The 13,626-nt window shown below is 35.9% G+C and overlaps 1 protein-coding gene across 4 annotated transcripts in view; it reads right to left on the bottom strand.

The window, feature by feature from the left end:
* VPS13A (vacuolar protein sorting 13 homolog A) overlaps window positions 1-13,626 on the bottom strand; it is a 244,004-nt gene that overhangs the window by 167,235 nt on the left and 63,143 nt on the right. For all 4 annotated transcript variants that reach the window (NM_033305.3, NM_001018037.2, NM_015186.4 and 1 more), the window contains exons 20-22: window positions 6,908-7,044; window positions 4,074-4,206; window positions 1,951-2,068 (exon numbers count right to left, since the gene is read on the bottom strand). In NM_033305.3, the coding sequence (NP_150648.2) occupies window positions 1,951-2,068; window positions 4,074-4,206; window positions 6,908-7,044 (388 nt within the window). The remainder of the gene's footprint in view (window positions 1-1,950; window positions 2,069-4,073; window positions 4,207-6,907; window positions 7,045-13,626) is intronic.

Below are 13,626 nucleotides of genomic sequence, written 5' to 3'. Positions count from 1 at the left end.
AGGACAGTCTTTTCAACAAATTGTATAGAGGAAATGAGATATTTGCATGCAAAAGAATAAGGCCGGGAGCAGTGGCTCACGCCTGTAATCCCAGCACTTTGGGAGGCCGAGGCGGGCGGATCACGAGGTCAGGAGATCAAGACCATCCTGGCTGGCACGGTGAAACCCCATCTCTACTAAAAATACAAAAAATTAGCCAGGCGTGGTGGCGGGCGCCTGTAGTCCCAGCTACTCGGGAGGCTGAGGCAGGAGAATGGTGTGAACCCTGGGGGGCGGAGCCTGCAGTGAGCCGAGATCATGCCACTGCACTCCAGCCTGGGCGACAGCGAGACTCTGTCTCAAAAAAAAAAAAAAAAAAAAAAAAAAGAATAAAGGCCGGTCCTTATCCTATATGTCACATACAAAAATTAACTCAATGGATCAAAGATCTAAATAAAAGAAGCTAAAACTATAAAACTCTTTAAGGTAAACAAAGAAGAAAAGCTTTATGACATTGGATTTTGTAATAATTTCTTGGATATGACACCAAAAGCATAGGCAACTAAGATAAACTGGACAATAAAAATTTTAAACTTTTAGACATCAAAGGCCACAATCAACAGAGTGATAAGGAAACACAGAGTGAGAAAAAATATTTGCAAATCATATATCTGATAAAGAGTTAATATCCAAAATATATTTTAAAACTCTCACAACTCAGCCGGGTGCGGCAGCTCATGCCTGTAATCCCAGCACTTTGGGAGGCTGAGGCGGGTGGATCACAAGGTCAGGAGATCAAGCCCACCCTGGCTAACACGGTGAAATCCCATCCCTACCAAAAACCCAAAAAATTAGCTGGGCGTGGTGGCATGCGCTTGTAGTCCCAGCTACTCAGGAGGCTGAGGCAGGAGAATCACTTGAACCCAGGAGGTGGAGGTAGCAGTGAGCCAAGATCATGCCACTGCACTCCAGCCTGGGTGACAGAGGGAGACTCCATCTCGAAAAACAGAAAAAAATAAATAACCAGATTAAAAGATGGGCAAAGATCTTGAATATGTATTTCTCCAAATAAATACATGAATGGTCAACAAACACAAGAACAGATGTTCAACATCACTAAGCATTAGAAAAATGACATCACTTCACACCTATTAGGATGACTATTAAAATAAAAAAACAGAAAATACCAAGTGTTGTAGAGGCAGTGAAGAAATTGAAACTCTTGTGCTGGTAGGAAAGTAAAATGGTGTAACTGCTATAAAAAACAGCACAGCACTCCTCTAAAACTTAAACACTGAACTATAATATGATCCAGCAATTCTACTTCTGAGTATACACCCAAAAATACTGAAATCAGGGACTTAAGCAGATATTTGTACACAGCAGCATTATTACAACAGCCAAACAGCATTAACAACACAAATGTTCATTGAAGGATGAATAAATAAAAACATAGTATATACAACATATAAGGAATATTAATCAGCCTTAAAAATACATGAAATTCTGACATATGCTCCAACATGGATGAATCTTGAAGACATTATGCTAAGTGAAGAAACCCAGGCACACAAAATCTGATTTTCTATGATTCCACTTATATGAGGCACCTAAAATAGTCAAATTCATAAAGACAGAAGATATAATGGTTGTTGTCAGGGGCTGGGTGCAGGGTGAAATGGGGTGTTATTGTTTAATTGAGTACAGAGTTTCAGTTTGGAAGAGAAACAGTTCTGGAAATGAATGGTGGTGATGGTTGCATAACAACATGCGTGAACCTAATGACAATGAACTATACTCTTAAAAATTATCAAAATGGTAAATTTTATATACATTTTACCACACACACAAGGAAGAGTCAGTTATATACATTTCACCACACACACAAGGAAGAGTCAGTTAAGTATGGTATTTCCCTAGCTACAGAATTACCCAGAAAATCCATATTCACATGAAACAAACAGTACATACTTGGGCATCCTTACATCCATGAAAACCATGGCCTTAGACAGTTCCAAATTGAAGTGCATGGGTACCAAAATATGCTGGGTAGATACACTGAGTTTTCGTGCTTCTCTCCAATTATCACCTAAGTACAGAAAATAGTTCATATTTAACGTAACTATAACACACAAAACCTAAAATAACTATTAATACTTCATAGTCACACATTCCATTATATGAGGAAATTTCCCCACATCTAGGTAATCTTAATGTCACATTCTCAGGTACATACAATCAGTAGGTTATCAAATCTACTGCGCATCCACTGACAATCACTACACCAACCACATACCTTACCCAAAAAAGTAACATGGCAGTAAAGCAATAATGCAAAAGGTAGTAAAAAGTGAGGTTCTTTAACAGTAACTAATAAAAGCTACCATTTATTCAAGATTTATAATTTCTACTCTTCTAGGTAATGTTTAAATGTTAATTCTCAAAATTCTGTATAATAATCCCACTTTAGAAAACTGAGACTCAAAAGAATTTATAATTTGCCTATGATCAATCTGCTAGTGATAAAACTGAAATTCACATCCAAGTCTACTTGGATGTTGTTGATTGGCAACAATCACTGCAGAGTTACGAGCCTAAATGTTCCATAAGGGAATGGTTAAATAACTGAGACCATAGCCATATAGCATAATATAGACAATAAAAACCATGAGTTCAAGTGACCAAAATATTACTGGTAAAAGAAAAAATACCTGGATATAAAACTATATAAATCATGTAAAAAAAATACATTCACAAATACCTCCAATATAAACACCAAACAAGCACATCCCATATATTCACAGGTACACACACTGAAAAACATACTAAAAGGATGTGCAACAAAATATCAATAGTGTTCCTGCCTAAGCAGTAACATAAAGGTTTATCTTTTTGGTTTCTCAGTTGTTCAGATTTTCTGAAATAGGTATAATCAGAAAGAAATAACTTTAAAAATTCATAACAAGATTAATGGGATCTCAGTCATATAATGCATTTTCATATATACTATCTCATTTGAACATAATAATTCTATGAGTCAGATAAAATCCCAGTCAAGGAAAACCAAACCCAGTAATTTATTCCCTGAAAAAGAATTTGTGGAATTCTGAAAATAACGTACTTCTGCCACCCACTATACCTTTGGGTTTCCTCCACCACAATTAGAATATGATAAAAATACAAACTACATTCACTATCCTGAAGCAAATATAATTGAAGAAATAAAATGTTTCAGTCCTATACAAATTAACAATTTTGATAACAACTACTTTGGATTCTCATTGTTTCTCCTTTTATTGGTTAGCTCAGGTAATTAAAATCTGACTGCATACAAACACTTAGATCTCTACATATGGATCTCTTCAACAGATCAAATTTTACTGAATTATCTGCATGTTCACTAACACTCTAGGGATTCAAAAGCAGTATGACAGAACGAAAAGAAAGCTGAACGAGTCTGGGGTCTCTCCCTAACTACTTAAATGGCTCTTGGCAAGTGAATTTCTGGCTTTGACTTCATCTTCAAAACTAGCTCTAAATCAGACTCCTGACTGGTATACCACAGTGAATGAGATACAAGTATGTCTAGGAGAGTGACCCTCGTCTTTGTATGGCTGTCCATGACTGTCAGAGCCCCTAGGCTGCTTACTTCTGGCCCTGAGCAATGTCTTCTGGTTATCCAACTGTGTAGTAATACCAATATCATTTTCAATATGGGCCAACTTTGGTCAAAGGCTGGAAAACATTGGTACAGATCAGGATTTCTCGACCTCAGCACTACTGATATTTATTATGAGGGACTGGCCTGAACATCGTAGGATGCTTAGTAGTATCCCTCACCTTTACCCACTAGATGCTAGGAGTGCCACTCATGCTCTACCTGTGACAACCAAAGATGTCTCCAGATATTGACAAATGTCTCTTGGGGGGGCAAGACTGCTCCTGGTAAGAACAGCTAGACAATATTTACTATCATTTCTAATTCAAAAATATAGACGTTCTAACACATTTAAGAGGAAGGTCTTCAAAGTGTCTAAAAACCTAATTAATCACTTCAACAAAATCAATCAACAAATAATGCATTTTATACTCACCAACTCTACTGTAAAGCAGCTGTACACTTGTAAGTTGAATATCAAATGAATCATAAGCTCTATCCATTATCTCTTTAAGATTGGCCTCACCTTGTTTCACATCTGGTAATTCAGAACGACTTTTACTCGTCACCTTCAAGTTAATTTTAATAGTTTAGACTATGCAAAATACTTCAAAATGTAAGTATAAAGTGTTTAATTTTTAGACTTATAAAATGTTAATAGGAGAGGATAAATTCACAAGTAAGCATACATAATAAGGCTATTAGAAAGGTCCTCATCGATGAGATATATAATAATAAGGAGAGCGATAAAGTAAATTTTTACATATTAGGATATATTTCCCATTTACTTGCATTAAAAGAAACCAAGATGGTCCTGAAGAATAATATGTCTACAAATTTTTTAAATGTGATAAGAGGCCTTCTGATTAAGAGCAAGATCAAGAGACAAATTTAGCTTATAAAATGTTTCTATGGCATGATGACAAATACTGACATGGCTGTACAATAAGAAGTAAAAGAGTCCAGAATTAAATAGGATAGCTGAATTTTAGTTCCAACTCTGCCATTTATGCAACTCCAGGCAAGTTATATTTGTATCTCTCCTTTATTGGCATACTGTGCGCATTACTTTTTTCACTTAAACATCCTGGAGATGACTCCACAATAGTACATAAAGATCTTACTCATAAAAATACATGTGTGTACACATACATTTTTTAACTTTTTTTCCCTCTATATAGCTCATGTGAAGTAAACACTCAAAAAAAGATTATCTCTGTTTGAAAAGTAATAAATTTTAGGTAACAGGTTAAGCAAATTGCCTAAAGTCACAAAATTAGATATCCTTACTCCTAACCTTATGCTCTATTATACCACACTGCCCTTGAAACAACTGAATAAAATTCAAATATGAATAATAAGCTGTATAAATTTTATTATAAATATATACCCAGTGGGCGTTTACACAATTAACAAATGCAGAATTTTTAAAAATAGGATAAGGGAAGATGTCAGTATCAAGGACAGGCACGTATTTTTGTTAAGTGGCCAGAAAAAGCATTCTAATATTATCCACCTCTCTTGGTTCTTTAAATTGTGATAGATATTCCTCTACATTTAATGATTTACAGCAACGCTGTCCAGTAGAACTTCTACAATAATGGAAATGTTCTATATCAATGCTGTCAAATACAGGCCAGGCGCGGTGGCTCACACCTGTAATCCCAACACTTTGGGAGGTCAATGCCAGCAGATAACTTGAGGTCAGGGGCTCAAGACCAGCCTGACCAGCATGGTGAAACCCCATCTCTACTAAAAATACAAAAACTGTCTGGGCTTGATGGCACACGCCTGAAATCCCAGCTACTTGGGAGGCTGAGGCAGAAGAATCACTTGAACTCGGGAGGCAGAGGTTGCAGTGAGCTGAAATCACGCCACCGCACTCCAGCCTGGACAATAGAGTGAGACTATGTCTCAAAAACAAAAACAAAAAATACAGTAGCCACTAGCCACTTCTGACTATTAAACTCTTAAATGTGGCTAATATGACTAAGAAACTGAATTAATTTTAATTCTAATTAATTTAAATAACCCCATGTGGCTGGGAAGTGGGTACTATAGTGAAGAGCACAGATCTAGAATACCGCCAAAAAAATGTATTCTCTACTGAAAATTTGGAAAGAAAAAAGTATATAATTAGAAAAAAAGGGTCAGGCATGGTGGCTCACGCCTGTAATCCCAGCACTTTGGGAGGCCGAGGTGGGCAGATCACTAGGTCAGGAGATCGAGACCATCCTGGCTAACATGGTGAAACCCAGTCTCTACTAAAAATCACAAAAAAAATTAGCCGGGCGTGGTGGCGGGGGCCTGGAGTCCCAGCTACTCGGGAGGCTGGGGCAGGAGAATGGCATGAACCCAGGAGGCGGAGCTTGCAGTGAGCCGAGATCGTGCCACTGCACTCCAGCCTGGGCCACAGAGCCAGACTCTGTCTCAAAAAAAAAAAAGAAAGAAAAAAAGGGAAATGACTTAGGTAAACAGAAGAAGGCCATTTCTCAATTTAGAATTATTAAATACAAATATTAAAATGTCAATATATATATAGTTTTATGCACAAAAAATTTCAGAAAGATGAAGACGTATTTGATTGTTTCCACAATTCTCTATCATTCTATATACTTTAAGTAATCAAGTAATAGGTCTAAATTGAGAAAGAAATAAGCTTCTCAAGCACAACTCTCAAATACTACAAATATAAATCTTAGATTCGGGCCAGGCGCGGTGGCTCACGCCAGTAATCCCAGCACTTAGGGAAGCCAATGCAAGTGGATCACTTCAGTACAGGCATTCGAGACCAGTCTGCAACATAGTGAAATTCCGTCTCTACTAAAAATACAAAAATTAGGTGGGCGTGGTGGCGGGCACATGTAATCCCAGATACTCAGGAGGCTGAGGCCTGAGAATCACTTGAACCTAGGAGGCAGAGGTTGCAGTGAGCCAAGGTCGCAGTACTGTATTCCAGCCTGGGCGACAGAGTGAGACTCTGTCTCAAATCAATCAGTCAATCAATCAATCAATCAATCAGTCAATCAAGCTTAGATTCAAACCTGCCCTGCAGAGTTTAATTGGTCATTTTGCTTTCATAAGTGTAGGAAAACTACCTAATTGAGACTTCACTTTATTTAACAGAAAGGGAGATTTCTCAAATCTTACTTATCTACCACAAATCTAGGAAAAAAAGCAATAAATCAAACTGTTTAAAAAACAAAATACATTTAAAACAAAGAAACACCCCAAATGCTGTATCATAAATCAAATATTATTAGTATATACCTTTAGATGACCAAGGTCCAAAAGAAGCAGATTTGATGTAGGACTAAAAATTCCATCTTGTGGGACAATAATATATGAAGCCTTCAAATTAATTTTGAGATCAAGAACTTTCTGTGTTTCAATAATATACAGTAGACCTGGAAAAATGTAAATCTTTTCTATGAATACTTTTCACAAATTACTCGAGAAATACAGAATCACTAAATATATGAACTGATAAAACAATCTTAATGTAAAATTAGTATTAATTTTAAAATGACCTCAGCAAAATACTTCCAATATAAAATTTAAAATACCTGCCAATGCATGTACTCCTATTTAAATATAGCTGAGTACAAAATTGGAGTGATTCTTCCAAAAAAAATTTTTAACCTATAAACTCAATTTGGGTAAAATTGGGAAGATACAGACCAAAAAAAAAGTTTCAGTGGCATAAAATATTTACTCACAACAACTCTTAGAATCTACATAGATACTTCTCAATTCATAAACTTCATAAGCTACATTTACCATACTGAACAATAACACTTGATCTTAATATTATTCTGAGAATATAAAAAATCCTGGATTATCAAATCATCTTCAATAAAATCATATGCAAACCAGAAAAGGCAACAAACCAGAGTTTTCCATTCCCTAGGTCCTTCATTCACTTGGAGTTTTTTAGTCTAATAAATTTAATTCATTCACTTGCATGTGATTAGTATACCAAATTCATCTATTTTATGTCCCTAAGTCCAGTATCAGCATCAGCTTTTAAATCTAAACAAATTATTTTCTATGAGATGTGAACCCTTTCTTAAAGAAAAAATTATATGAGCAGCCATCAAATCAGTTAGAGTAAATGAAAGATATTTGACTTAAAAAGTTTAAAAAGATCTGACACTCAAACAAAAAGGCACATTTTTTCACACACACACACACACACAAAATGTAGGCAGGTCAGTATATTTGAATATAACCTTTAAAGTTAAGAATTTATTATTAAAGAATACATGTTCAAATTAAAGAATATGTCAACAATTTTAATGTACTTAAAATTACAAATAAAATACATATACAATTATAAAGCTTAAAAGCAGACATTGAGCAAGTGTCAAGTGCCAACACATAATCAGCTTGATATACAAGCCAACAGAAAGAAAATGAATAAATTAAAAGTAATTAAAATACCTTCTGTTTTAAATATCTATTTAAATTAAAATAGAAAATAAATAACCTAAGCCTGTGCTACAGTTTGGGATTTTAGCCCTCCAAAACTCATGCTGACACCTGATTTTTAATGCTGGAGGTGGGACCCTAATAAGACCTGTCTGGGTCATGGGGGCAGAGTCCTCACAAATGGCTTGATGTTGTCCTCATGGTAATGAGTGAGTTCTCGCTCTTTTAGTTAGAGCTTGTTGTTTAAAAGAGCCTGGCACCTCCTTCCTTTCTCTTGCCATGTAATCTCTGCACATGTGGGCTCCCCAACTCTTTCTGCCATGAGTGGAAGCATTCTGAAACCCTCACCAAAAGCAGATGCTGGAGTCATGCTTCTTGTACAGCCTGTAGAACCATGAAACAAATAAACCTCTTTTCTTCACAAATTACGCTGCCTCCAGTAGTCTTTATAAAAATAACACTAATAAATTACATCTGGGACAGCTCTTCCTTGAAATATGAGAAACTGTTATCAAAACTGTGTCATCTTTAAGGGATTCCAACGGCCTTGCACAGGTAGCCCAAGCAAGACTCTAGTAGAGAGAGGAAGAAAAAACCCTGGCATTTCCCATAGCCTGTAAGAAGCAAATTCAAGTGAAATCTCTTAAAATGAGGATGGAAGGTGAGGTGAGATAGAGGTTTGAAAACAGACTGACAGATCATCAAAAATTCTGAAGACCATCCAATTAGCCTGAAACTTAAGAGCAGAATTGACTCAAACAGTTATTCATTCTTTTTCCCCAAATGATTTGGATTCAAACACAGATGGCATGATTTTACTAAAGTAACAAGAAGCATCCAGAAGGGTCAATCTGACATTCAAGATTCTCCAGAGACTATCTGTTAAGCATTTCTCTATCTTCATTTCCATCTCTAGTCTAAGGATTCCTCAAGTATTCTGGCTTCTACAAATCTAAGTTCTGGTACTCCCTGGAAGTCCTACCACAAGCCTTAGTTTCAACAAAGCCTTTCTTGATACCAGGACACAATGATTTCTCTAAGTTGTTTTTAATGGAAGGGAGTGGGGAGTATTTTATTTTGACCTTAGGTTGATTGGGTCTCTCCCCTATTTTCCATTGCACTTACAACAAAATCCTAACTGCTTAATATGACTTTCATATTTGCATAATCAAGAGTATGCATCTTTAACATCCCTCCACTCTCCCCTCACTCATTACATTAGAACCAATTCAGCTTTCTACAACTTCCAAATTCACCCAATTGTTTGCTAAGTTAAGCTCTTCACAGTGGACCATCACCTTGAAGGCTCTTTCTTATACCCTTTAGCAGTGTGGATCCTACATATATATCTGATCTTAATGTTGAATTTTCAGAGATCTTCTCTGACACTACCACCAAGACTAAATTGGGGCATCTATCCATTCTCATTTCTTTCACAGCATTTGGGCTGATTATAGAATTGTTTCCTCACTCAGCTCCAAATTCACCCACTTGTCTGCTCTGTGAAAGTAGATCTGAGTTGCTTAAATGATTTTCCTTTGCCAACTAGCACTGAAATAGATAAAGAACACAGGAGAGACACTGCAGGAGAAAAGAGCTGGCTTCCTGGTTCCAGTACACTCATTTAGCAATATCCTGTAACACTGTGCCTTTCTCCAACACAATGCATAATGTGCACATAACAGCACTCAAAAGCCAGTATTCTGCCCCTAGAACCCTCCTCAGGTGGTTTCACAGCAGAACGAGGGCAGTGAGACATTGCCCCATGAATATTTTTCCTTTTTACCTCAGAGGATGGATTTCCAGAAAGTTTTAGAGAGCAGATTACCAGAAAGACACAAGAATGGCTTTTCTACCATTCAATGACTCACAGAGGTTCCTTCTCCCAACAAAGTGTGGATTTCAATTCTCAGGGAAGAGAGAGACCTCTTCCTAGGGAACGCTGTCTCAGTTCTATATTCCTCATAACTACTCTTCTTAAATATATGTATTTTTGGAGACAGCATCTCACTCTGTCACTTAGGCTGGAATGTAGGAGTTGCTATCATAGCTCACTGCAGCCCTGACCTCCCGGGCTCAAGCAATCCTCCAGTCTCAGCCTGCCAAGTAGCTGGGACGATAGGTACACGTCACCAAACCTGACTAATTTTGTAATTTTTTGTAGAGACAAGGTCTCACTATGTTGTCCAGGCTGGTCTCCAACTCCTGACCTCAAGTGTTCCTCCCCGCTCGGCCACCAAAACCTCTGGGATTACAACTATGAGCCATGGCGCTTGGCCTCTTGTTACATTCTTTAAAGTTACTCTTTGGAGTAACAAAACAGTCCCTCATTACAGTTAATAATTCATTACATTAAACATACCTATCAAAATTACTGTGTGGTTTTTCTTTCCTGATTGGACCCATACAGCATTAATCAAAAATTTCCAGTATATTGCTCTTAGTTTTATATTTGTCCTATCCATAAGAGTATAACATCTATCAATAGGCAAGAACTACATCCATTCTGATCATTGCTATGTTCCCTAAAACCTAGCATAGTGTCTGACATATAGATTAGGCTCTTGATATATATTTAAATGAGTAAATAAATGAAATAACTGAAAGAAAATGATTCACTATGATCCTATCAGAGAACCTTGTACTCTGAAAGAAGAGTTTTAGCAAACGACCACATCTGTTTTCCTGCCAGAGACAAAGGATAACTAGTTGAGCAGGCTCTGTAAGCTCATGCCATAGTTGACAACAAAAAGACCTGAAAGACCTTGAGTTCTTAGAAAGGAAGGGGAAAATAACAAGCTGAGCATCCCTAATCTGAAAATCCAAAATCAAAACGCTCCAGGATCTAAAACTTTTTCAGCACCACAATAACATGATCCTCAAAGATCATATTCACAGAAAATGCTGCTTAGAATACTCTGAATTTCCTATTTCCCAATTAAGGATGTTCAACAAGTAAGTAAAATGCAAATATTCCAATATCCGAAGAAATCTGAAATCTGAAACATTTCTGATCCCAAACATTTCTGCTAAGGGATACTCAACCTATAATACAAGAAAGAAACCAGGATGTTAATAGAGGAGAATGTAACAAAATAAAAGGAAGAAAGGAGGAATATGAGGGAAGGAAAGAACCTAAGTAACCAGAATCATTATAATATATATGAGTCTCTTCACAAATAGGTAAATTTTAACTTTCTAGAAAAAATCCAAAATATATTAAATTTTAAAAATTAAGTGCAAAAACCTATCATAGAAGCTTTCCATTTTTTTTCATAGAATTAGCATTTTTATACTATTGGTATAGAAAAGAAAACAAAGTTGGAAGAACAGACTTCAAATTTTAAAGGTTATTATGTACAGAAGGTAAAATACTGAAGACTTCCACTTTCTAAAACATATTTCTGTAACATGTGAACTTTATATTGTGGATATTTACTGTTTGGTAATTTTTTTAAGTAATAAAAGTTGAGGTAAATAAATCTTAGAGATAAAAAATCTCAAAATCTGAATGTCTATAGTGGATTTCCAATATGATTAATTTGTATTTAACTATGAGTTTCTATCAATCAAGAAAAACTGACTAGAAGTAGCCTGATCTTATGCTTTGGTTTCTACTCAGTATATAATATACCAATATACAGAATGTAAACTAGGAATGGAATTCCCAGATTTTAACAAAGAATACAGGAATAAATGCAAACCCTACAGTTTCTAGAGGTAAGGTATTCATGTACAATCTAATTTAAAACTATTCAGATATAAAAATAGTAGAGAAAAATGAGCAAAAGCCAGAGAAGACACATATATTTTGAAGAATATAACACACACTTTTCTGTGAAAAAAGAAAAATTAATAATGAATCAAGATGCCTATTATAATATTGCCTAACAAAAGACAACTAGTTAGACATTTCCTGAAGGTCTTATCAAAATGTGATTTCTTGACTCATCTAAATTATTTTATCTTAGGAAAGAGAACAAAGGAAAATGACAGATAGTATATCTCATATCTACCAATAAGGATAAAGTGAATATAATAAAAATGGCAAGAGAAAAATCATAATTTCATGCCAGGTTTTATAGCCACCAAAATGGGACAAATTCTGAGTTCAATTAGAAGTGTACTCCCAGGCTTAACAAAACCAGAATTTTAAAACTTTGACAATGAAATTGGATCTTACTCCAAAGATAATTTCAGCCTCTCAGAACACAGGAAACAGAAGACAAAGATGGAGAGTCTTGCAAGAGTTCTCCTCACAAATCTGAAATCTTAAAGGACACTCACTCAAAGAAAGAATAATTGTGAAGTAAAACCTTCCTCTCCCTAAAACACTCTCACAGGGGGATGCAAACAAAGGCTGTGAGAAAAATTAGGAGAAAAAGGTAATACCTCTGTGAATGATAAGTATGATATATTCCTCAAGGAGGTATGTAGCCCAAGAATTCTTTGGCAGTCCAGAACATCTTAAGCAATTAATTTAGCTATGCCACCAACATACCCAAGGTACCTGGCAGAAGAAATATAAATCTTCCCGAAATGAAGGCCCACTTATCTCAGGCTTCAGAGAATTCTCCCAAATAATATTCTAAGGAAAATGAGCAGATTACAATTAAAAATTACCAAGCATAAAAAGACACACGTTACCATAAGTAAGTACCAACAAAAACAAAAGACAGAAGATAGGAAAAACAGAACCACAAAAGTCTTCATATAACGGACTATCTGAAGAGAGAGAATTAACTGGTGAGACAGAATATAAAATACTGTACTTATGATCTCTGAAAAAAAAAAAAAAGACAAGTGTAAAGATATCCGTGGGAAATACAAAACCAAAAAAGAATGACAACACAGATTTTAAATTTAACAAAACAGAATTCCTAAAGGGAAAAATATAATCACTGAAATTAAACTTAATGAAGAGATTTGATACCACATTGGGCATGGCTACAGAAGGACTCAGTAAATGAGAAGATAAATTAGAAGAAATTACCCAGCATGTAACACAGAGAAGAAACAGATGGAAAGAAAGCAGGATACAGAAGTTAAGGAGAATGGAAGATGGAGTAAGAAAGGCTAAAATTCATTTAGCCAGAATTCCAGAAGAGAATATATGTAAAGAGTTAGTGGCTAAGAATTTTCCAGATAGATTTTCTAGAACTCATTAAAAATCCCAGTACTCAGATTCATGAAATCCAGTGAATCCCAAAAAGGATATATAAAGCAAATCTATAGCTGGATACACCAAATTGCGACAACAGAATACAAAAGATAAAAAGTTCTTATATGTAAAAGAAAAGGGTAGATAATGTACAAAAAAAAACAGCAGACACACTGACACCTGAATTCTCAACATCAGTAATGAAAACCTAAAGACAGAATGCCCTCTTCAATGTGTTAAGGAGAAAATGAACATCAACCTTTAATTCTACATACAGTAGTATCATGTCAAGCTAATATGCAACGGGCATGGTGGCTCATGCCTGTAATCCCAGCACTTTGGGAGGCTGAGATGGATCACCTGAGGACAGAAGTTCGAGACCAGCCTGGCCAACATG

Source organism: Homo sapiens, chromosome 9, assembly GCF_000001405.40.
Source record: "Homo sapiens chromosome 9, GRCh38.p14 Primary Assembly".
NCBI classification, from domain to species: Eukaryota; Metazoa; Chordata; class Mammalia; order Primates; family Hominidae; genus Homo; species Homo sapiens.
Note: the sequence above shows the minus strand (reverse complement) of the source record. Positions and strands in the feature narration are given on the sequence as shown.